The sequence below is a fragment of the Homo sapiens genome, chromosome 1 (assembly GCF_000001405.40).
Source record: "Homo sapiens chromosome 1, GRCh38.p14 Primary Assembly".
In the NCBI taxonomy this organism is placed as follows: domain Eukaryota; kingdom Metazoa; phylum Chordata; class Mammalia; order Primates; family Hominidae; genus Homo; species Homo sapiens.
The window spans coordinates 48,438,612-48,461,908 of NC_000001.11; the positions used below are offsets into that span (position 1 = coordinate 48,438,612).

Consider the following 23,297-nt stretch of genomic DNA (forward strand, 5'->3'; position numbering starts at 1 on the left):
CTCAAAGTTACATCACCCAAGCGAGACTCGCCCATCTATCCTATCTATCCTGACCCTTGCCTCCTGGGTTCTAACGCCTGTCAGACAAACTTCCTCTCGCCTCTTTTCTCCGAGACTAGTCCCGCTTCTAAAAACCACTCCCTGTCTCTGGTGCTTTTCTAGTTTCTCCTATAAGAGTGATTTCTAGTATAAACTTCAGGACTCTGTTATCTTCTTTAGGCACCTGAGCTCACCAATCATAAAGACATAATTTTTGCCCAAAGCCCCATCAGGTGGGGGGGACTATCTGGAATTTTAGGATCCTTCCTCAGACTAGCAGGCCTAACAAAAGCTATTACTGAAACTAGGCTATGGGGAGCCTCAGAAATGATATCCTTCCTATTCATATGATGAGAAATGAGGACAAAAGGCATCACCCTTCCAACCCTGGAGATCCCTTCCCTCCCTCAGGGTATGGCCCTCCACTTCATTTTTGGGGCATAACATCTTTATAAGACAGGAGAAAGGTCCCAATACTAACAAGAGAACACTTAGGACTCTAACAGGTTTTTGAGAATGAGTCAGTAAGAGCCACTAAATCCAATTTTTCTCGGTACTCTTTGTGGTCTAGGAGGACAGGCAAGGGTGCAGGTTTTCAAGAATGCGTCGGTAAGGGCCACTAAATCTGACCTTCCTCAGTCCTCCTTGTGGTCTAAGGAGGAAAACTAGTGTTTCTGCTGCTGCGATGCTGAGCGCAACTTTTCCAATCAGCAGGGTCCAGGGACCATTGCGGGTTCTTGGGCAAGAGGGGTTTCTGCTGCTGCGTCAGTGAGCGCAACTATTCCGATCAGCAGGGTCCAGGGACCATTGCAGGTTCTTGGGCAAGAGTGATTTCTGCTGCTGCATCAGTGAGTGCAACTAGTCCGATCAGCAGGGTCCAGGGACCATTTGGGTTCTTGGGCAAGAAGAGTTTCTGCTGCTGCATCGGTGAGCACAACTATTCCAGTCAGCAGGGTCCAGGGACCGTTGTAGGTTCTTGGGCAAGAGGGGAAAACAAACAAACCAAAACCACCGGCGTTTTTTTCTTTCAGATAGTAAACACTCAGGCATTAACAGGCTCACCCTTGAAATGCATCCTAAGCCATTGGGACAGGCATTAACAGGCTCACCCTTGAAATGCATCCTAAGCCACTGGGACCAATTTGACCCGCAAACCCTGAAAAAGCAGCAGCTTATTTTTTTCTGCACTATGGCCTGGCCCCAATATTCTCTGTCTGATGGGGAAAAAATGACCACCTGAGGAATGTATAAATTAAAATACTATACTACAGTTTGACCTTTTCTGTAAGAGGGAAGGCAAATGGAGTGAAACACCTTATGTCCAAGCTTTCTTTTCATTGAAGGAGAATCCACAACTATGCAAAGCTTGCAATTTACATCCCACAAGAGGACCTCTCAGCTTACCCCCATATCCTAGCCTCCCCATAGCTCCCCTTCCTATTAAAGATAAGCCTCCTCTAATCTCCCCCACCCAGAAGGAAACAAGCAAAGACATCTCCAAGGGACCACAAAAACCCTCTGGCTATCGGTTATGTCCCCTTCAAGCTGTAGGGGGAGGGTAATCTGGCCCAATCCGGGTACATGTCCCCTTCTCCCTCTGATTTACAGCAGATCAAGGCAGACCTGGGGAAGTTTTCAGATGATCCTGATAGGTATACAGATGTCCTACAGGGTCTAGGGCAAACCTTCTATCTCACTTGGAGAGATGTTATACTATTGTTAGATCAAACCCTGGCCTTTAACAAAAAGAATGTGGCTTTAGCTGCAGCCCAAGAGTTTGGAGATACCTGGTATCTTAGTCAAGTAAATGACAGAATGACAGCTGAAGAAAGGGACAAATTCCCTACCAGTCAGCAACCCATCCCCAGTATGAATCCCCACTGGGACGTCGACTCCGATCATGGGGACTGCAATCACAAACATCTGTTGACCTGTGTTCTAGAAGGACTAAGGAAAATTAGGGAAAAGCCCATGAATTATTCAATGATGTCCACCATAACTCAGGGAAAGGAAGAAAATCCTTCTGCCTTCCTCGAGTGGCTATGGGAGGCCTTAAAAAAATATACTGCCCTGTCACCCAACTCACTTGAGGATCAACTGATCCTAAAAGATAAGTTTATTACCCAATCAGTCACAGATATCAGGAGAAAGCTCGAAAAGCGAGCCCTGGGCTCTGAACAAAATCTGGAGGCATTATTAAACCTGGCAACCTTGGTGTTCTATAATAGGGACCAAGAGAACAGGCCAAAAAGGAAAAGAGAGATCAGACAAAGGCCACAGCCTTAGTCATGGCCCTCAGACAAACAAACCTTGGCAGTTCAGAGAGGACAGAAAATGGAGCAGGCCAGTCACCTGGTTGGGCTTGTTACCAGTGTGGTTTGCAAGGACACCGTAAAAAAGATTGTCCAACAAGAAACAAGCTGCCCACCCTGCCATGTCCACTACACCAAGGCAATCACTGGAAGGCACACTGCCCCAGAGGACAAAGGTTCTCTGGGCCAGAAGCCCCCAACCAGATGATCCAACAACAGGACTGAGGGTGCCCAGGGCAAGTGCCAGCTCATGTCATCACCCTCACTGAGCCCCGGGTATGTTTAACCATTGAGGGCCAGGAAATTGACTTCCTGCTGGACACTGGCACAGCTTTCTCAGTGTTAATTTCCTGTCCCGGACAGCTGTCCTCAAGGTCCGTTACCATCCGAGGAATCCTGGGACAGCCTGTAATCAGGTATTTCTCCCACCTCCTCAGTTGTAATTGGGAGACTTTGCTCTTTTCACATGCCTTTCTTGTTATGCCTGAAAGTCCCATACCCTTATTAAGGAGGGACATATTAGCCAAAGCTGGAGCTATTATCTACATGAATATGGGAAACAAGTTACCCATTTGTTGTCCCCTGCTTGAGGAGGGAATCAACCCTGAAGTCTGGGCACTGGAAGGAACAAACTCAAGCTCCAGCCCTAAGCCTTCCCATAGGACAAAACTTCTCTTTACACGTCACAGAGAGGGCAGGAATAGCTCTTGGGGTCCTTACTCAGACTCGTGGGACAACCTCACAACCAGTGGCATACCTAAGTAAGGAAACTGATATAGTAGCAAAACGCTGGCCTCACTGTTTATGGGTAGTTGCAGCGGTGGCCGTCTTAGTGTCAGAGGCTATTAAAATAATACAAGGAAAGGATCTTACTATCTGGACTACTCATAATGTAAATGGCATACTAGGTGCCAAAGGAAGTTTATGGCTATCAGACAACCGCCTGCTTAGATACCAGGAGCTACTCCTTGAGGGACTGGTGTTTCAAATATGCAGGTGTGTGGCCCTCAACCCTGCTACTTTTCTCCCAGAGGATGGGGAACCAATCGAGCATGACTGCCAACAAATTATAGTCCAGACTTACGCTGCCCAAGAGGATCTCTTAGAAGTCCCCTTAGCTAATCATGACCTTAACCTATATAACGATGGAAGTTCATTTGTGGAGAATGGGATACAAAGGGCAGGTTATGCCATAGTTAGTGATGTAACAGTACTTGAAAGTAAGCCTCTTCCCCCAGGGACTGGCGCCCAGTTAGCAGAACTAGTGGCACTTCCCTAAGCCTTAGAACTGGGAAAGGGAAAAAGAATAAAAGTGTACACGGATAGCAAATATCCTTATCTAATCCTACATGCCCATGCTGCAATATGGAAAGAAACGGAGTTCCTAACCACTGGGGGAACCACCATTAAATACCACAAGGAAATCATGGAGTTACTGCATGCAGTGCAAAAACCCAAAGAGGTGGCAGTCTTACACTGCCGAAGCCATCAAAAAAGGGAAGGAGAGAGGAGAACAGCAGCATAAGCGGCTGGCAGAGGCAGGGAAAGACCAGCAGAAAGGAGAGAGAAAGGGACAGAAAGTCAGAGAGACTGAGAGAGAGGAAGAGACAGAGACAAAGAGGGAGTCAGAGAAAGAGAGAGAGAGAGAAAGAGAGAGACAGAAAGTCAAAGAGAGAAAGGAAGAAACAGACAAAGAGGGAGTCAGAAAGAGAGAAAGAGAAAGACAAGTCAAAGAGAAAGAGAGATGGAAGTAGTAAAAAAAAAAAAAAAAAAAAAAAAAAAACAGTGTACCCTATTCCTTTAAAAGCCAGGGTAAATTTAAAACCTATAATGATAATTGAAGGTCTTCTCTGCAACCCTGTAACACTCCAATACCACCTTGTTGTCAGTGTAAACAAGGGCGTAGCCTGAAAGCACTGAGGCCACTGACAACCCATAGCCTTCCTATCAAAAATCCTTAACCCAGCAGGTTTCCTAGCAGGGAATCTAAATCTTAACTAATTACCATACAAAAGTCCAACCAGACCTAGAAGGAACTCCCTTCAGGACAGTTCCTCCCAGGCAATTAAGGAAAAAAGACACAATGGTATTCAGTAAGTGATAAGGAAGCAGACTTAGGAAAATCGCCTAACAATTGGTCTGCTCCAACGTGCCACTTGTTGGCACTCAGCCAAACCTTAAAGTACTTACAGAATCAGGAGGGAGCCATCCATACCACTTCTAAGTGAATATGGACTGAACGAGGTTTTATTAATAGCAAAGAAAAATTAAAATCCCAAACTTAGAAGGTTTTCAACGAAAGTAAAGTTTGCTAAAAGTTAACAGTGTAACACGTATTATCCTACCTTCAAATCTTATAGAAATCAGACCCTATCAGTGCCCCACAAAGCTCAAGTCTGTCAGCACAGGGCCATACAACTAATATCCCTACTTATAGGGTTAGAAATGGCCACTGCTACAGGAACCAGAAAAGCAGGTTTATCTACTTCATTATCCTCCTACCACACACTCTCAAAGGATTTCTCAGACAGTTTGCAAGAAATAACAAAATCTATCCAGTAAGGATACAATCCCAAATACACTCTTTGGCAGCAGTGACTCTCCAAAACTGCCAAGGCCTAGACCTCCTCACTGCTGAGAAAGGAGGACTTTGCACCTTCTTAGGGGAAGAGTGCTGCTTTTACACTAACCAGTCAGGGATAGTATGAGATGCCACCCGGCGTTTACAGGAAAAGGCTTCTGAAATCAGACAACGCCTGTCAAACTCTTATAACAACCTCTGGAGTTGGGCGACATGACTTCTTCCCTTTCTAGGTCCCGTGACAGCCATCTTGCTATTACTCGCCTTCAGGCCCTGTATTTTTAACCTCCTTGTCAAATTTGTTTCCTCTAGGATCCAGGCCATCAAGCTACAGATGGTCTTACAAATGGAACCCCAAATGAGCTCAACCAACAACTTCTACCGAGGACCCCTGGACCGACCCACTGGCCTTTTGACTGGCCTAAAGAGCTTCCCTCTGGAGGACACTACAACTGCAGGGTCCTTTCTTCACCCCATCCAGCAGGAAGTAGCTAGAGCAGTCATCGCCCAATTCCCAATAGGAGTTGGGTTGTCCTGTTTAGAGAGGGGACTGAGAGGTGAAGCCAGCTGGATTTCCTGGGTCAAGTGGGGACTTGGAGAACTTTTGTGTCTAGCTAAAGGATTGTAAATGCACCAAGCAGCACTCTGTAAAAACGCACCAATCAGCGCTCTATGTATAGCTAAAGGATTGTAAATGCACCAATCAGCACTCTGTAAAAACACACCAATCAGCACTCTGTCTACCAAAAGGATTGTGAATGCACCAATCAGCACTCTGTAAAAACGCACCAATCAGCACTCTGGGTCCAGCTGAAGGACTGTAAATGCACCAATCAGCACTCTTTAAAAATGCACCAATCAGCACTCTGTAAAAACGCACCAATCAGCACTGAGTCTAGCTAAAGGACTGTAAATGCACCAATCGGCACTCTGTAAAAACATACCAATCAGCGCTCTGTGTCTAGCTAAAGGTTTGTAAACACACCAATCAGCACTCTGTAAAACGGACCAATCAGCACTCTGTAAAATGGACCAATCAGCACTCTGTAACATGGACCAAACAGAAGGACATAGGCGGGGACAAATAAGAGAATAAAAGCTGGCCAACCCAGCCAGCAGCAGCAACCCGCTCAGGTCCCCTTCCATGCTGTGGAAGCTTTGTTCTTTCATTCTTCACAATAAATCTTGCTGCTGCTCACTCTTTCGGTCCGTGCCACCTTTAAGAGCTGTTAACACTCACCACGAAGGTCTGCAGCTTCATTCTTGAAGTCAGCGAGACCAAGAACCCACCAGAAGAAACCAACTCCAGACACACAAGGACTGTCAGAATCATTTGATCTGGGGTTACTCAAGGATCTGACCATTTATAGGCTTTCCAGTTAAAGGGGTGCTAGGGTCCCCTTGACAATCTGGAGCATGTTCAATTTGTTTTTTAATAACATTTTTAATTAATAAATTTTTGATTTTAGGCAGACAGATAAGCATATATTAGTTTTGTATTTTAGACAATAGGAAATGTATATATGACTCAATTCCAGTACTAGAATAGGTAGCTGAAAATTCTAGAAGATTCCACATTGGTTCAATAATTTTCCTTACTTGAAATTCTTCTCTTTGCTTCCACTGACATACAGCCAAACTGATTATTTTGGCTTGACTTTATATTTTATTTAAATGGGTTATTTCTGTCATTTCTGCTATCATTCTGTGTTTAAATTTAAAGGCTCAGTACTATGGAGACACATTGTAGGAACATCTATGAGGTGCTGCCAGGGCATCTATTCCCCTCCTTTCCCCTTCCATTACAGATCTACGTAGTTCTTAAAAAGCTAACACATGGCTGGGCGTGGTGGCTCACGCCTGTAATCCCAGCACTTTGGGAGGCCAAGGCGGGTGAATCACGAGGTCAGATCGAGACCATCCTGGCTAACATGGTAAAACCCCGTCTCTACTAAAAATACAAAAAATTAGCCGGGCGTGGTGGCAGGCGCCTGTAGTCCCAGCTACTCGGGAGGCTGAGGCAGGAGAATGGCGTGAACCCAGGAGGCGGAGCTTGCAGTGAGCCGAGATCACGCCGCTGCACTCCAGACTGGGAGAGAGAGTGAGACTCTGTCTCAAAAAAAAAAAAAAAAAAAAAAAAAAAAGCTAACACATGTACCACCTGAACGAAAGGTAGAACATGTGTACATAGGCTATGCCAACAGCATACTACATCCCCTTTTCTACTTTGATTAGAATAAACCTCAAGACTTGATGAAAAGTATGGAACACAGACCTCTTATTTATTCTTAAGGATATGGTGGGGAAGATGTGAGGCCTGAGACCACTGCAATTTTGCTACTATAAATTTTGCTGCCATAAATTAGGTTAAGATTCAAGAAAATATAACAATTATAAATGTATAAGCAATCAAGACCGAGCCTCAAAATAAATACATCACGCTAGGTCCAATTAGGAGAGAGAAGCCACATAGGAAAAGTTTAATATAAAGAACAGTTAACTAAAACAGGGTATTCAAGGAGGAAGAGACTGTCAAGGAAGATGTAAAAAGAATTTAAAATAATATAGGAATAGCAGGTAGAAAAGCAGCCATTACCCCTAGGGCTCAGAGTACCAACAAAGAAACTCTACATAAGCCCTCTTCCCCAGTGTTGAGATCAGACCTTGTTGGAGAGGGTACAGTCTGGGCTCACTGAAAAAGAAATCACTCTACTGCCGTGCCAGTGGTATATACTGAAAATCTGCCCTCTGGAACTTGCCAGAAATTCTCCCTCTAGGATAGCAGGGAGGCTATTTACGGGGAGGTATTTCATCAGAAGCTTCACTATAGAACCATCCAAAGAGAGGCCAGCTGGGGAAAAACACTGCAGACCACCATGTATTGCAATACCTGGCCACTTGAGAAGCTACAAGGGCTTCAGAAGCCTGGTGCTGGAAAAAGTCAAATGAATACATTGGTACCTGGAAGCAAAATCTGTTCCCCTGCAGTATTTCTTCAGGGTCCTCTAATATACAAAGCTTCAGTGCCAGGTAGAGAAAAAAAATTTAAGGGTTTAAGTCAATTTCCACAGAACAGGAAAGAAGATTGAATTTGGTTAGGTGCAATAAATTGATAACCATCAGATTATATGAAGCAAAACCTGATATTAATGAAAGAAGAAATAATTCAATAATTATAATTAGACATTTAAATACCTTTCTCTTAGTAATCAGTAAAACAACCAACCCTCCCAAAAGAATACAATCAGAATGCACAAGACTTGAACATTATCAACTTAAATGACAGAAATAGATTGACATAGATTAACACAATCAATGACAGCAAAATACAGTTGACCTTGAACCACATGTTTGAACTGCATAGGTCCATTTATACACGAATTTTCTTCTACCTCTGCTACCACTGAGACGCGAGACCAACCTCTTCTCTTTCTCTTCCTCCTCAGCCTGCTAACATGAGGATGATGATGAAGACTTTTATGATGAACTTCTACTTAATGAAGAGTAAATATATTTTCTTTTTTCATGGTTTTCTTAATAACATTTGCTTTTCTCTAGCTTACTTTATTATAAGAATATAGTATATAATATAACAAAAAATATGTTAATTGACTGCTTATGTTATTGGTAACGCTTCTGGTCAAGAATAGGTTATTAGTAGGTAAGCTTTTGGGGGAGTCAAAAGTTATACGTGGCCAGGCACGGTGGCTCATGCCTGTAATCCCAGCACTTTGTGAGGCCAAGGTGGGCGGATCACCTGAGGTCAGGAGTTCCAGACAAGACTGGGCAACATTGTGAAACCCCATGTCTACTAAAAATACAAAAATTAGCCGGGCATGGTGTCACGCACCTGTAGTCCCAGCCACTCAGGAGGCTGAGGCAGGAGAATCACTTGAACCTGAGAGATGGAGCTTGCAGTGAGCCAACATCGCACCACTGTACTCCGGCCTTGGTGACAGGGTGAGACTCCATCTCAAAACAAAAAAACATTATACATGAATTTTCGATTACATGGGGAGACGGCACCCCTAACTCCCATCTTGTTCAAAGGTCAACTGCACACAATCTTTTCAAGTGCACTGGAACATCCTCAAGATCATAGGATAGGCCACAAACAAGTCTCAATAAATGTAAAAAAGTTAAAATCCTACAAATTATGTTCTCTCACCACAACAGAATTAAATTAGAATTAACTTTAGAAAGAAATATAGGAAATCCCCAAATATTTGGAAATAAGTTATTTCAAAAGAACCCATGGTCAAAGAAGAAATCAAACCAAAAAAATTAGACAATATCTTAAAATTAATGGTAACAAAAAATAACATCAAAACTCATGAAATAGGGCAAAGTCAGTGGGAAGATGGAAATTTACACCTTTAAAAGCTTGTATTAAGCTTTGCACATTGGCAGTATCGCAGCCAATGAGATTTATCCAAGGCATGATTATTGCTAATAAAAAGCTTATATTAGGAAAAAATATCTGTAATCAATCATCTATGCTTCCATCTCAAGAAGCTGCCAGCCTGGGCAAAATGGTAAAACCCCATCTCTACAAAAAAATAAAAAAAATTAGCTGGCATGGTGGCACATGCCTGTGGTCCCAGCTACTTGGGAGGCTAAGGTGGAAAAATCGCTTGAACCTAGGATGTAGAGGCTGCAGTCGGCCATGTTCATGCTACTGTACTCCAGCCTGGGTGACAGAGGAAGATCCTGTCTCAAAAAAAAAAAAAAAGGAGAAGCTGAAAAAGGAAGAGCAAAGCATAGGCAAAGTAGGTACAGGTTGAATATCCCTAATCCAAAAACATGAAATCTGAAATGTCCCAAAATCTAAAACTTTTTGAATGCTGACATTATGCCACAAGTGGAAAATTCCACACTTAACGTCATATGATGGGTCACAGTCAAAATGCAGGCACACAACAAACAAGTTTATTCAGTGTCCCCACAGGAAAAAAAAAAAAAAAGACGTTCTCCATCCCCATCAGCTGCAATATATCTTTTCTGAGCACACCCATATTCCCAGCACATATCCACATACTCATACCAACATGGTTCATAATTGCCCAAAACATAATTGCCCAAAACAGTCCAAATGTCCATCAAATAGTCAATAGTCAATGTGGAAGGGAAACATTCCATACAACAGAATACTATTCAGCAATAAAAAGGAATGAACTACTTAGATGTGGAACAACATGAATGATTCTGAAAAACATTACTCTAAATGAAAAGAAGCCAGAGAAAAAAGATTACATATTATATAACTCTTTAGATGAAATTTCTAGAAATGGCAAATATAGAGACAGAAAATACATTGGTTTCTGGGGACTGGGAGGTGGGCACAGGGACTGACTGCAAATAGGTATCAGGGACTTTTTGGGGTGGTAGAGACATTCTAAATTAGAAAATGATGATGATACACAATTGTATAAATTTTCTAGAAATCATTTAACTATAGTTACTTACAATGGGTGAATTTTATGATATATAAATTATACCTCACTAAAGCTGTTAAATAAAGTAAGGGAAGGAGGGAATGAAGGATTTGCCCTGCCTTTCTTCTAGGAACTATATTTCAAAGTAACAAAATTGCTGATTAGGAAAATTTCTTCTATAGAAAAATTCTAGCTAATAAATACAAAAGAATGACAATATTAGAAAAATAGTAATGTGCAACCCCTAAGGAAAAAATGGATCTCAAGGGATACTACAGCTATTAGATGAAAAGCTGATGGGCGCCTTATAATGGAGGAATCAGGCTGATGCTGCCTGGAGCCAAATTATCATTCTTAGCATCACTAAACGTAAAACAATCAGATATTTTATGCAACTTGACATAATGCTGTTAAGTACACAGCACCAACTATGAAGATTTCTTGCCAAAGTAACAAAATAAGCCAGAATCTAATCAAACCTCTATGTCTAATTATCAGTTTATAAAACAAGTAATAAACAATCCAAACAACATTTTAAGGAAGCAATCAGCCAAACCCAAACTGTATGACATGCTAAATGAGCTAGTTTTTCTAACAAATCCACAGTATTAAAAACAAAAAAGGTAGGACACTACTATAGGAAAAAAGAGAGAAATCGACATATATGGTGTGTGAACCACACCTTGATTGGATCCTGATTTTAACAAATCGATTGCAAAAAGACACTTTGAGGATAACTAGGGAAATCTGAATTATGACTGTTTGATCTTATTAAGAAATTACTGATTTTGTTAGGTGTGATACCAGCATGGTGGTTCTGTATTTTTTAAAGCCTTTATCTGTTAGAGGCCATACCAAAGTATTTGTGGTGAAATGACATAATGCATAGAATTTGCTTTTAAATATTCCAGCAATGCTCTTCAGGTGGCAGAGTGAACATGTAATAAGATTGGCAAAATGTCAAAAAATATTGAAGCTGGGTGACAGATACACAGGACTTCATCACATTCTATTCTCTCCACTGTTAGTGTGGGTATTATAAACTCGCTCATTTTTTTTTTAATTAAGGAACTGAAAAAGACTGCAAAACAGTACAGTAAGGGAGGAGTAAAAGACAAAAGAGCCCAAAGCACATTAGAGAGGTCAGGGATAAAGACTAACATGGAAGTAATTGGAGGATAGGTAATACATGAAGCCAAGTCTTTGGAGAGTATTATATAAGGAGAGACCATAAACAAAGTATAAAAAGAGATCAGAGAAGAAAGCCAGTGAAATATTAATATTTGAAGATAGGGCAGAGAAAGATGAATTTAAAAAGGGTACCAAAAAATGGAATACTAGTGGTTGGGAAGAGAGCCCAAGAAAAAAAAAAAAAAATCAGGGAAATCAAAGAAAGAAAATTTCCAAAAAATAATAACCACTAAGTACTCTTCTTATAGCCTCAAAATTTCAAATCAAATGGGACAAAAAAGGCATTGTTTTTTAACAGAAGAATTTCAAAATGAGAGAAATGTGTATCTTCATTTTTTTCTAAGATACACAATTTCCCAGATACTGAACAAGATGTTCAGTAAATATTAAAATTCATATATCCATTAGCACCACACTGCCACCTAGCTAGTCTGCAACAGTGGAAAATATAACACCAAGGGCTAGAACAGCTATACAAAATAAATAAGATATTGACATTGGCCATAAAGAGTTATTTGGAGAAGAGTCACTAAACTATAAGCTCCATGAGACAGACAATGGGCCAGACTCTTCTTCCCTCTAATACTCAGATTCTTGCATGTTCCAGGCTACATGTTTCTACATTGCTGAAGTCGCAATGGGGCCAGCAGGGGAGGCCAAATGGAAAGGAAAGTTAATAATGATTATGCTCAATTTTACTGGCCTTTTGAGCCACATTTATACATTAGATCAATCTGTTGATCCCAGAGCCCTTTCAAATTACAAAGATAAATTAACGGAGCTTTTCATTTAACACTCAGAGCTTAAAAAGTGTACACTTTTGCATTGCTGCTCTCACAAATAGTTGTATCTTTTTATAGTTATTCTAAGTAGTTTGAAGAATTTACTTGTTATGCAGAGCCTTGAAAAAATGTGTTTTTCAAATAATTTATTAATGTAATGAATGCAATGTAAAGTGCAAAAGCATATATTTTAAGCTACCATTACTTTGATCTGTTATTCACTCTCTTGACTTGAAATACACTGAAGTAGAAGACATATTTCTGTTTGCAGGGGAAAATCTCAACTAACATAAATTTCTGTCACTATATCACAAACACCCCATATCATTTTAATCAATAAAAAGCTTAAATAAGTCTCTGTTTTCCACAGACCAAACACACAAAAAAAGAAAGAATTCTCAGCCTCTCTGCAGCATATATATCTTTTATTATTTCCAGGAATATTCTGAAATTCTAAAAAGTATTAAAAAGTCTCAGCTCAAGATTTTTAAAGTTCTACTAACCCCTTTTAAACTTTTATTTAACCCAAGATTAAAGATCATAAGGATAATAAATCCTAAAATGTCTTAGAATCAGGAATTAAAAAGTTAAAAAACTTACATTCAAGCTGTGTAACCACATCTCCAGGATCTACTGCGTCCGGGAACACCTATAGTGAGACGATACAGGGAGAGGCAGGAAGGAAGATATATATTTTTTTTCTCCCTTCATCCCCAAAATATCATTCCTTTCACAATCACAGAAACTTTTGACATTATTGAGAACTGTCAGTTCCTCTCTCCTTCCCATCACTACAAAAGATTCTACAAATAACCTTTATAGCTTGTGCTGCCTCCGTCTCCAACTTCCTCTGCTAGCATTCTTCCTCTTGTTACCATGATCATACCAGGCCTTCTTGGTGTTCCTCCAACCCATCAAGATTATTTTCAACTACAAGCCTTTATATTTGTTTTTCCTCTGCTTAAAATGCTCTTCTCCTAGACCTTCAAATAAGAGTAATATAGTCTCATAATTCAGGCTCAGCTTAAATGTTATTGCCTTCTCTGACCACCTTTTAAAATAGACAATCCCCCAAATCCCCTTACCCGCCCATTATTCTCTTCATGCACTTACCACTATCTAAAATTATTCACATATTTATTTGGTTATTGTCTGTTTCCCCCATTACAATGAAAGCTCCCAGAGGGGAGGATTTTCCCTTGTTTACCATGTGTCCTCAGTGCCTAGAAAAGTCCACAGAATAGAGTAGGTTCTGGAGAAAAAGAAGAAAAGAAAGACGGAAAAAGGGAAGGAAGGAAGGCGAGAAGGAAGGAAAGAAAGTGAGAAAGAAGGAAATTAAAAAGTAAGAAACACAATTGGTCATAATTAACCAAAAGCTGCAAAGACTTATAGGAAGAAGTACCAAGAAACAGTCATAAGTAAAATATCATATATTCTTTTTTTTTTTTTTTAGATGGAGTCTTGTTCTGTCACCCAGGCTGGAGTGCAGTGGCGCTATCTCCTCTCACTACAACCTCCACCTCCCAGGTTCAAGCAATTCTCCTGCCTCAGCCTCCCGAGTAAGTGGGATTATAGGCAGGTGCCACCACAGCTGGCTATTTTTTGTATTTTTAGAACAGACAGGGTTTCCCCATGTTGACCAGACTGGTCTCGAACTCCTGACCTCAGGTGATCCACCCGCCTCGGCCTCCCAAAGTGCTGGGATTGCAGGCATGAGCCACCGCACACGGCTGATATATTCTTATCTATTAATGACTTTGCTCTCTTTTAATGAAAATCATTATTTAGAAATCAAGATTCTATGTTACATAAAGTCCACTAAATCAATTTTAGGAATAAGCTAATCAAGGGAAAAAAGGCAACTGATTCAATGCATATTTAATGCAAATTTTCAAGCTTCCAGGCTTAGGTTACAAATGTCCTTTTGAATTAAACCAAAGCACACAGTCAGCAGTAATAATTTGTGTTATAGGCTTTTATTCAAAAATTGGAACCACTTTGATGTTTTGTTTGTTAATACTTGATCTGATATTTGAACTCACCTTTTCAAACACCATTCTGGCATTGAAGACCAGGGGAAAAGTGGCTGGGACACATTGTGTCTTTTTGTATTGGCCAAACACACAGATGCTAAGATAGATGTCCTCTTTGTCTTTAAGCACGACTCCTGGGCAAGTTACCTGAAAGAAATTAGATAAAATGGATGTAACTGCTTTATAAATTCCCTGAACTATCCTACTAAAATAACTTATCAAATATTACATAAAAACATTAGTCTGGTAATCTAATAAAAAATACTCACAAATAAAGAGAGAGAGACAGAGACTAGTGTTTACAGAGTTAAATGAAATGCTTTTATAACTTCCATCCCTCTGAGAAAACTACAATTTTCCATTTGGTTACTTGTGCCACATTTGAAGTTCTATGTACTAGCTCTTGGGACAGACACTAATAGTTTTAAACAGTCAGCCTGAGGCTCCCACTTTATGCTGAATGCTGACATAAAGTTATTCAGCATCATTTAATCACAAAGGATTAACACTCAGCAGAAATAAAACACTATATTATAGAATTTTAAAAAACGCTGATAAAAACCACAAATCTGACTTCTATCACCCAAAATCACAGTCCATAGATACCTTCATCAAAAGTCATATGACAAAGTTTCAAAGCTAATAAAATGAAAGTTTCTAGCCCAATAAAGTACTTTTTACTTTAACTTATTTAGTTATATAGTTAAGTGCATATACCTTAACTGTCTGTTTCCCCCATTACAACGAAAGCTCCCAGAGGGGAGGATTTTCCCTTGTTTACCATGTGTCCTCAGTGCCTAGAACAGTCCACAGAATAGAGTAGGTTCTGGAGAAAAAGTAGAAAAGAAAGAAGGAAAAAGGGAAGGAAGGAAGGTGAGAAGGAAGGAAAAAAAGTGAGAAAGAAGGAAATTAAAAAGTAAGAAACACAATTGGTCATAATTAACCAAAAGCTGCAGTTTTAGGGGGAAAAAAAAGACAGAAAGAAGTACCAAGAAACAGTCATAAGTAAAATATCATATATTCTTTTTTTTTTTTTTTAGATGGGGTCTCGCTCTGTCACCCAGGCTGGAGTGCACTTATATAGTTAAGTGCATATTAAATTGCACTTAACTATCCTCATTGTGATTGACAGGAAATATAGGCAAAAAAATGTGTGGTTATTAAATAACACATAGCACAGTCTCTCCAGTACCTACCATATTCTATTGCCAGTGATCAACTACACCCTCAGCAGGATATTAAAGGCTCTCTAAGATTTGAGTACAATATAATATTACCCAACACTCCCAACAACACATTCAAAGTATATTTTTTATTGTTCTCTTTTCTTGACTCATGTTCTTTCATCATTGTATAATGTAACATAATATAATACAACGTAAGGAGCAGTAACTCCTTACTACTCCATTCCATCTCCTCCTCATTTATTCCTACCACCTGCCAAGACATACATCAATGAACATCTCCTACACCAAATTTCTCTTGATTCACCATTATTCAAGTCAACCTAATTCAAACATTTATTATGAACTTACTATATGCAAGTAAGTATGTCTTAAATTTCTGTAGCATTTTGTAATTATGGTACAAATCATTGTGTACATGCATTTTAATTAAGAGGGTACATATCACCTCTTGATCATAAATTTCCTGAGGACAGAAATTTTCTTTTCCTCATCATTGTATCCAAAGATACAGACTTTCAGTATTAAGAAAAAGCATAGAGATTATCTAGTCTAGCTTTGAGTTTTTTATATGTGAAATAAACGGAGCCCCGGGAAAGTTAAAGTGATCTACTAACTTAAGGTCACAAAGTAAATGAGTCATAAGATTAAATAAGTTAATATATTCAAAGTGCTTACAGCAGTGCTTGACAGAACATTCATTAATACTATCACAATTATTAGATTAAAAACCATATAACCTGCCATCTTACCACACTATTACGTTGAATAAATGACAAATACTTCACATCCTTTTGTACATACTAATTATCTTCTCTGCCAGCTATTTGACTCCATCTCCCTCTTACTCTATGTTCCCCTTTTGCTCTAATATATTCCCAATTGATCATTAAAACCAGGGTCCTCAACAAATCTCATTCTGTCCATAAGGTTCATTTCTTGCTTTGCCTCATTAAAACTAAAATCGTCTTAGATTCCCTCTAAATCTGTGCTGTCCAAAATGGTAGGCACTAGCCAATTACGCCCAGAGATACAACTAGTCTAACTTAAGAAGGGCTGTAAGTGTAAAATATGAAATGGGTTTTTAAGACTCAGTAAAAAAAATCTGTAAAACATTTCATTAATAACTGTTATATTAATTGCATGTTGAAAGGATATTTTGAATACATTGATTTAAATAAAACATATTATTACTTTTGACTACCTCTTTAACTTTTTTTTTTTTTTTGAGACAGTGTCTCACTCTGTCTGTCGTCCAGGCTGCAGTACAGTGGCACGGTCTAGGCTCACTGCAAGCTCCGCCTCCCAGGTTCCCGCCATTCTCCTACCTCAGCCTCAAGTAGCTGGGACTACAGGCACCCGCCACCACACCAGGCTAATTTTTTGTATTTTTAATGGAGACGGGGTTTCACCGTGTTAGCCAGGACGGTCTCAATCTCCTGACCTTGTGATCTGCCCATGTCGGCCTCCCAAAGTGCTGGGATTACAGGCATGAGCCACCGCACCTGGCCTACTACTTTAACTTTTTTAAATGTAGCTATTAGAAAATTTAACATTACATCCTTGCCTCAAATTTGAGGCTCTTATATTTTTTCTGGACAGTACTGCTCTAATTGTCCTCATTGGAAACTGCTGAAGCTCTATCCAATTTGTAACATATGCAAGAAGGCATTGTTTTTTTCATCTACAATTCTACAAATTCTGCTATCTCTTAAAAAAACACCCAGCAGCTTTCCAAAAAGAAAGCCAGAAAAGGGAGGTTAAAAGAAATCAGATGGGACAAACAGAAAATACCTAGCAAGGTGGTTGACTTAAATCACCTTGGCAAGCTATGACATAGACTTGGCAATTTAGAAGAGCATGCACATGTGCAAAGCTGTTCATGTGCCGAGAAATGACCTGAGAAAGCCATAACCCTTCACCTCTGGCTGACCTTGGGGCTTTGAGAAAGTTGGAAGTGAAGGCTAAGGCAGAGTTGCAAATGGCACCAGGGCACAGAAAGCATACCCCAACATATACACAGAGAACCCTGACAATGGCTGAAAGACCTCTTGGTTCAAACATTTAAGGAAATAGAAGGCCACTCTTTAGGAGAACATAAAGCTAATTGAGCAAAGCCATCAGTGGCTACACATGACAAAGATTACAGATTTTACAAAGTTAGTTCAGGAAATTAATTAAACAAACAAAAAACAATAATACCAGACAATAACAAATTCAGGAGAAAGGGAGGGAGCTCTGATTTACACAGTCCCACATAATTTAAAAAGTCTAATTTTCAACAAAAATTGCAACATGCAAAGAAATAGAAAGCACAGCCTATACATGGGGGAAAAAAAAAAGAGCAGTCAATAAAAACTGTCCCTGAGGAAGCCCAGAAGTTGGGCTTACTAAACAAAGATCTGAAATCTATTGTAAATAATACAAAGAACTAAAGGAAATCTTGTCTAATGATCTAAATGAAAGTATGGCAATGCTGTCTCATCAAATAAGAAATATCAATAAAGAGATAAAAATTTTTAACAGAACCAAATAAAAATTCTAGAGTTAAAAAAGTGCCAAAATTAAATTAAAAATTCACTAGAGAAGTTCAAGAGGAGATATGAGCTGTCGGAAAAAGAATAAGGGAACCTGAAAATACGTCAATTAAAATTATCCAGTCTGATTAACAGAAGGAAAAATGAACAGAGTTTCAGACCTGTGGGATACCACCAAGCACAGTAAAATAAATAGAATGAGAGCCTCAGAAAGGATATCACAAGAAATAATATATGAAATCTTCTGATGTTTAAAGAAAACCAATAAAAGAATCCAACAAGATCAAAGAAATCAAGGGAGGATAACTTGAGGCCAGGAGTTCAAGACCAGCCTGGGCAACATAGTGAGAGCCTCTCTCTACAGAAAAAAAAAATTTAAAACTTTTTAAAAGATCACAGAACTCCAACCTGTGCACCTAATAAACTTTCAACAGAAGATAATCTATCCAGGCATGGTGGCTCACGCCTGGAATCCCAGCACTCTGGGAGGCCCACATGAGTGGATCTCCTGAGGTCAGGAGTTCGAGACCAGCTTGGCCAACATGGCGAAACCCCATCTCTACTAAAAACACAAAAATTAGCTGGGCATGGTGGCACATGCCTGTAATCCCAGCTACTCAAGAGGCTGAGGCAGAAGAATTGCTTGAACCAGGGAGGCAGAGGTTGCAGTGAGACAAGATCACACCACTGCACTCCAGCCTGGGCAACAGAGCAAGACTCCATCTCAAAAAAGAAAAAAAGAAAAAAAGAAGATAATCCAATGAACTCTCAAGAAGAGAGAATCTTGAAAACAGCAAGATAGAAGTGATTCAGCAGGCATCAATAATCTTCAGTAAGATTAACGGCTGATTTCTCATCAGAAACATGAAGCCAGTAGGCAGAGTGATAACTGACTCAAAGTGCTAACAGAAGAAAACTTTCAAACAATAATTCAATACCCACAAAAATTTTCTTTCAAAAAGGAAGTAAAACTAAGTGATTCCCAAATAAACAAATGAGATAGCTCATCACTAGCAGAACTTCCCTATCAAAAATACTTAAAGAGAATCTTTCAGGTTGAACTGAAAGGATACTAGACATAGGCTCATATCCACATTAAGAAGAAAAAAGAGCACCAGTAAATGAAACTATATAAATATAAAAACAGTGTAAATGCATTTTTCTCTTATTTCTCCTATTTTATTTCAAGACAATTACAGAAAGCAATAATTATAAAACTGTGCTGGTGTACTTATATTTATAAAAATGTAATTTGTATGACAATAATATAAAGGAAGGGAGGGAGAATAGAACAAAATAGAAGAAAGGTTTTCTGTAATAGTGAAAATAAGTTAGTATTAATCCATACTAGATTATAAATTAAGATGCTAATTGTAAACCCCAGACAAGCACTAAGAAAGTAACTTTAAAACTACAGCTTAAAAAAAAGAAAATGTAAGTGGCACACTAAAAAATAATTAACACAAAAAAAGCAATAGTGGAAGAATAGACAAAATAGTCACAGAAAACAAAAGACAAAATGACACAAGTAAATCTTATCTGTGGTTACATTAAAGATAAATTGACTAAACACTCCAACCAAAAGGTATAGATTGGCAGAATGGATTCAAAACTATGATCCAACTATTTTTTGGCCATAAAAAGAAATAAACTACTATTACGTGCTACAACATGGATGAACCTTAAAAGCATTATGTTAAGTGAAAAAAGTTTTAAAAGCACAAGGCCAGATGTAGCCACTCTTTTTGCTGTCTTTTTTGCTGACTGTCAGTGGGCAGAGTATCCAGGACTTCTTTTCCCAGAGGCAACCCTGTCTGCTCATTTTTGGCTGTCTACTCTAACAAACTGATTAATGGATAGGCAAAATATGGTATGTCCATACAATGAAATATTATTCACCATAAAAAGAAAGAAAGTACTGATACGTGCTACAAGAGGGATGAACCTTAAAAGCATTATGCTAAGTAAAAAAAAGTAAGATACAAAAGGCCACATATTGTTTGATTCCATTTATAGAAATGTCCAGTATAGGCAAATCTACAGATACGGGAATTAGATCCAGGGGCTGGTGGGAGAGGGATAATAGGGAATGACTACTAACAGATACAGGATTTTTTTATATGGTGATGAAAATGTTCTGAAATTAGTAGTGATTTTTGCACAACTTTGTGAATATACTAAAATTTACTAAATTGTACACTTTAAAAGGGAACATTTCAGTCAGGCCTGGTGGCTCACACCTGTAATCCCAGCACTTTGGGAGGATGAGGCAGGTGGATCATGAGGTCCGGAGTTTGAGACCAGCCTGGCCAACATAGTGAAAACCCATCTCTACTAAAAATAGAAAAAATTAACTGGGCGTGGTGGCAGGCACCTGTAATCCTAGCTACTCGGGAGGCTGAGGCAGGAGAACTGCTTGAACCCAGGAGGTGGTGGTCGCAGTGAGACAAGATCGCACCACTGCACACCAGCCTAGGCAACACTGCGAGACTCCATATCAAAAAAAAAAAAAAAAAAAAAGAACGTTTCATGGGATGTGAATAATATTGCAACTTCAAAAAGATAAAGACTAATAAAAGTGAAATGAGGGAAAAGATCTATCATCTAATTACTAATCATAAAAGCTGGGGTAGTTATGTTAATATGACATAAAGTAGACTTCAGAAAGAGAAAAATCACCAAGGATAAAGTGGAACATTTCATATTGATTAAAAGTTTGATTTACTAACACAATCAAATTAAATTAAATATAATAGCATCTAATTATACAGTGTCAAAGTAAATAAAGCAAAAAATTACACATTTGAATTTCAGTACTTCCCTTTCAATAACTAACAAAAATAAGCAGTCAAGTAATCATTAAAGATATAGAAGATATAAGCAATATTTACTAATTTGACCTAAATGACATTTACAGAGTACTTCATCCAACAACAGAAGGATACACGTATTTTTTTCCAAGGGCACATAAAAACATTCACCATGATAGATGATACTGTGAGTCATAAAACAAGTCTCAATCAACATAAAAGGACATAAATTTTTTTAAAAAATCATGCAGAGTATATTCTCTAACCAGAATGAAATTAAACTAGAAATCAGTAATGGGAAAATATCTGAAAAAAATACCTAAATATTTGGAAATTAAATAACAGGGTCCTAAATCACTCATAGGTCAAAGAAGAAATTATAAGACAAATTAGAAAAAAACTTCCAACTGAATAAAAGTGAAAACACAACGTATCAAAATTTGTGGGATGTAATTAAGTCATTTTTTTTTTAAGATATGAGGTGTTGCTCTGTTGCCCAGGCTAGAATGCAGTGGCATGATCATAGCTCACTGCAGCCTCAAACTCCTGGGCTCCAGGAATCCTCTCACCTCAACCTCCCAAGTGGCTAAGACTACAAGCAGGTGCCACCATGCCTGCCTAATTTTTTTTTTCAGAGATGGGGTCTCACTATGTTGCCCAAACTGGTCTCAAACTCCTAGGCTCAAGTGATCCTCCCACCGCAGCCTCACAAAGCACTGGGATTACAAGCATGTGCCACTGCACCAGGCTTATTAAATCACTTCTAAAAGGTATATTACAGCATTAAATCTTCGAAATTCTTTTAATTAATTTTCTGTTTGGAAAAAAAGCATTTGACAAAATTTAAGCCTCATTCATAATAAATGTTCTCAGCAAACTCAGAAGGAAATTTCCTCAACTGAAAAAGAATATCTATGCAAAAGCCTAAATCTGATATCAAACATACTTGACACTGAAAGACCGAATAATTGCCCCTAATATCAGCAAAAAGTTAAGAATGTCCACTCTCAACACCTCTATACCACAATGCACCATAGGTTCCAGCCAGTGCAGAAGGACAAGAAAAAGATATTTGGAAATGAAAGAAATAAAAGGCACACAGTTTGAAAAGGAAGAAGTAAAACAATGTATTTTCAAACATCTTAGTTGTGACCTATTGCAAAATGTGCTACTAGAAATAATAGGGAAATTTCACAGTCACAAAATATAAAGTCAATATATACCGGTAAGAATGAAAATTGGCAGATATTTAAAAAGAGAGACTAAATGAGAATTTTGGAAAATTTAGTCAATTAAGTTAAAAATCCCAGAACAGGAGATAAATTTTAAATTATTAAGTACAAATTTAATATTGAAGAATTATCTAAAAACAATAAGTTTTTTTTTTAATGTTAAAAAAAAAGCATTTAGGAGCCTCTCTGAACCTGTTCTGGTTCAAGGGCTGCCTGATAAATTTAAAGAATAATAAATAAAGCTCTTAAGAAACACTGAGAATAGATAAAAGTTCCAATACATATCTAATAGTACTGCCAGAAGGTAAGACAGGAGAGAACAGCAGAAAAACAATACTCAAAAATATGATAGCTTTTTTCATGTGTCTTTTGGCTACATAAATGTCTTCTTTTGAGAAGTGTCTGTTCATATCCTTTGCCCACTTTTTGATGGGGTTGTTTGTTTTTTTCTTGTAAATTTGTTTGAGTTCATTGTAGATTCTGGATATTAGCCCTTTGTCAGATGAGTAGGTTGCGAAAATTTTCTCCCGTTTTGTAGGTTGCCTGTTTACTCTGATGGTAGTTTCTTTTGCTGTGCAGAAGCTCTTTAGTTTAATTAGATCCCATTTGTCAATTTTGGCTTTTGTTGCCATTGCTTTTGGTGTTTTAGACATAAAGTCCTTGCCCATGCCTATGTCCTGAATGGTAATGCCTAGGTTTTCTTCTAGGGTTTTTATGGTTTTAGGTCTAACATTTAAGTCTTTAATCCATCTTGAATTAATTTTTGTATAAGCTGTAAGGAAGGGATCCAGTTTCAGCTTTCTACATATGGCTAGCCAATTTTCCCAGCACCATTTATTAAATAGGGAATCCTTTCCTCTGGCCATCAGAGAAATGCAAATCAAAACCACAATGAGATACCATCTCACACCAGTTAGAATGGCAATCATTAAAAAGTCAGGAAACAACAGGTGCTACAGAGGATGTGGAGAAATAAGAACACTTTTACACTGTTGGTGGGACTGTAAACTAGTTCAACCATTGTGGATGTCAGTGTGGCGATTCCTCAGGGATCTAGAACTAGAAATACCATTTGACCCAGCCATCCCATTACTGGGTATATACCCAAAGGACTATAAACCATGCTGCTGTAAAGACACATGCACACGTATGTTTATTGCG

General features: G+C 38.7%; 1 protein-coding gene and 1 pseudogene across 18 annotated transcripts in view, besides 2 other annotated features; one reads left to right on the forward strand and one right to left on the reverse strand.

Moving 5' to 3' along the window:
• SPATA6 (spermatogenesis associated 6) overlaps positions 1–23,297 on the reverse strand; it is a 210,816-nt gene that overhangs the window by 177,223 nt on the left and 10,296 nt on the right. For 11 of the 18 annotated variants that reach the window (XM_047422913.1, XM_047422901.1, XM_006710699.4 and 8 more), the window contains exons 2-3: positions 14,383–14,520; positions 12,941–12,989 (exon numbers count right to left, since the gene is read on the reverse strand). In XM_047422913.1, coding sequence (XP_047278869.1) covers positions 12,941–12,989; positions 14,383–14,520 — 187 coding nt within the window. Of the gene's footprint in view, positions 1–12,940; positions 12,990–14,382; positions 14,521–23,297 lie in introns of those variants that run through there. The other 7 variants (XM_047422902.1, XM_047422919.1, XM_017001510.2 and 4 more) reach the window with 5 other exon arrangements.
• Positions 786–1,080: a silencer, noted in NCBI's record as "tiled region #3042; HepG2 Repressive DNase matched - State 8:EnhW, and K562 Repressive non-DNase unmatched - State 23:Low". NCBI's record gives its function as "represses a minimal TATA promoter and a strong SV40 promoter by Sharpr-MPRA in HepG2 and K562 cells {active_cell/tissue: HepG2 | K562}" and the evidence as "EXISTENCE:reporter gene assay evidence [ECO:0000049][PMID:27701403]".
• Positions 3,425–4,112: an enhancer, noted in NCBI's record as "NANOG-H3K27ac hESC enhancer chr1:48907708-48908395 (GRCh37/hg19 assembly coordinates)". NCBI's record gives its function as "activates a minimal SCP1, AML or CMV promoter by ChIP-STARR-seq in naive H9 embryonic stem cells {active_cell/tissue: H9 hESC(naive)}" and the evidence as "EXISTENCE:reporter gene assay evidence [ECO:0000049][PMID:30033119]".
• Positions 9,325–9,431, forward strand: RNU4-61P (RNA, U4 small nuclear 61, pseudogene; annotated as a pseudogene).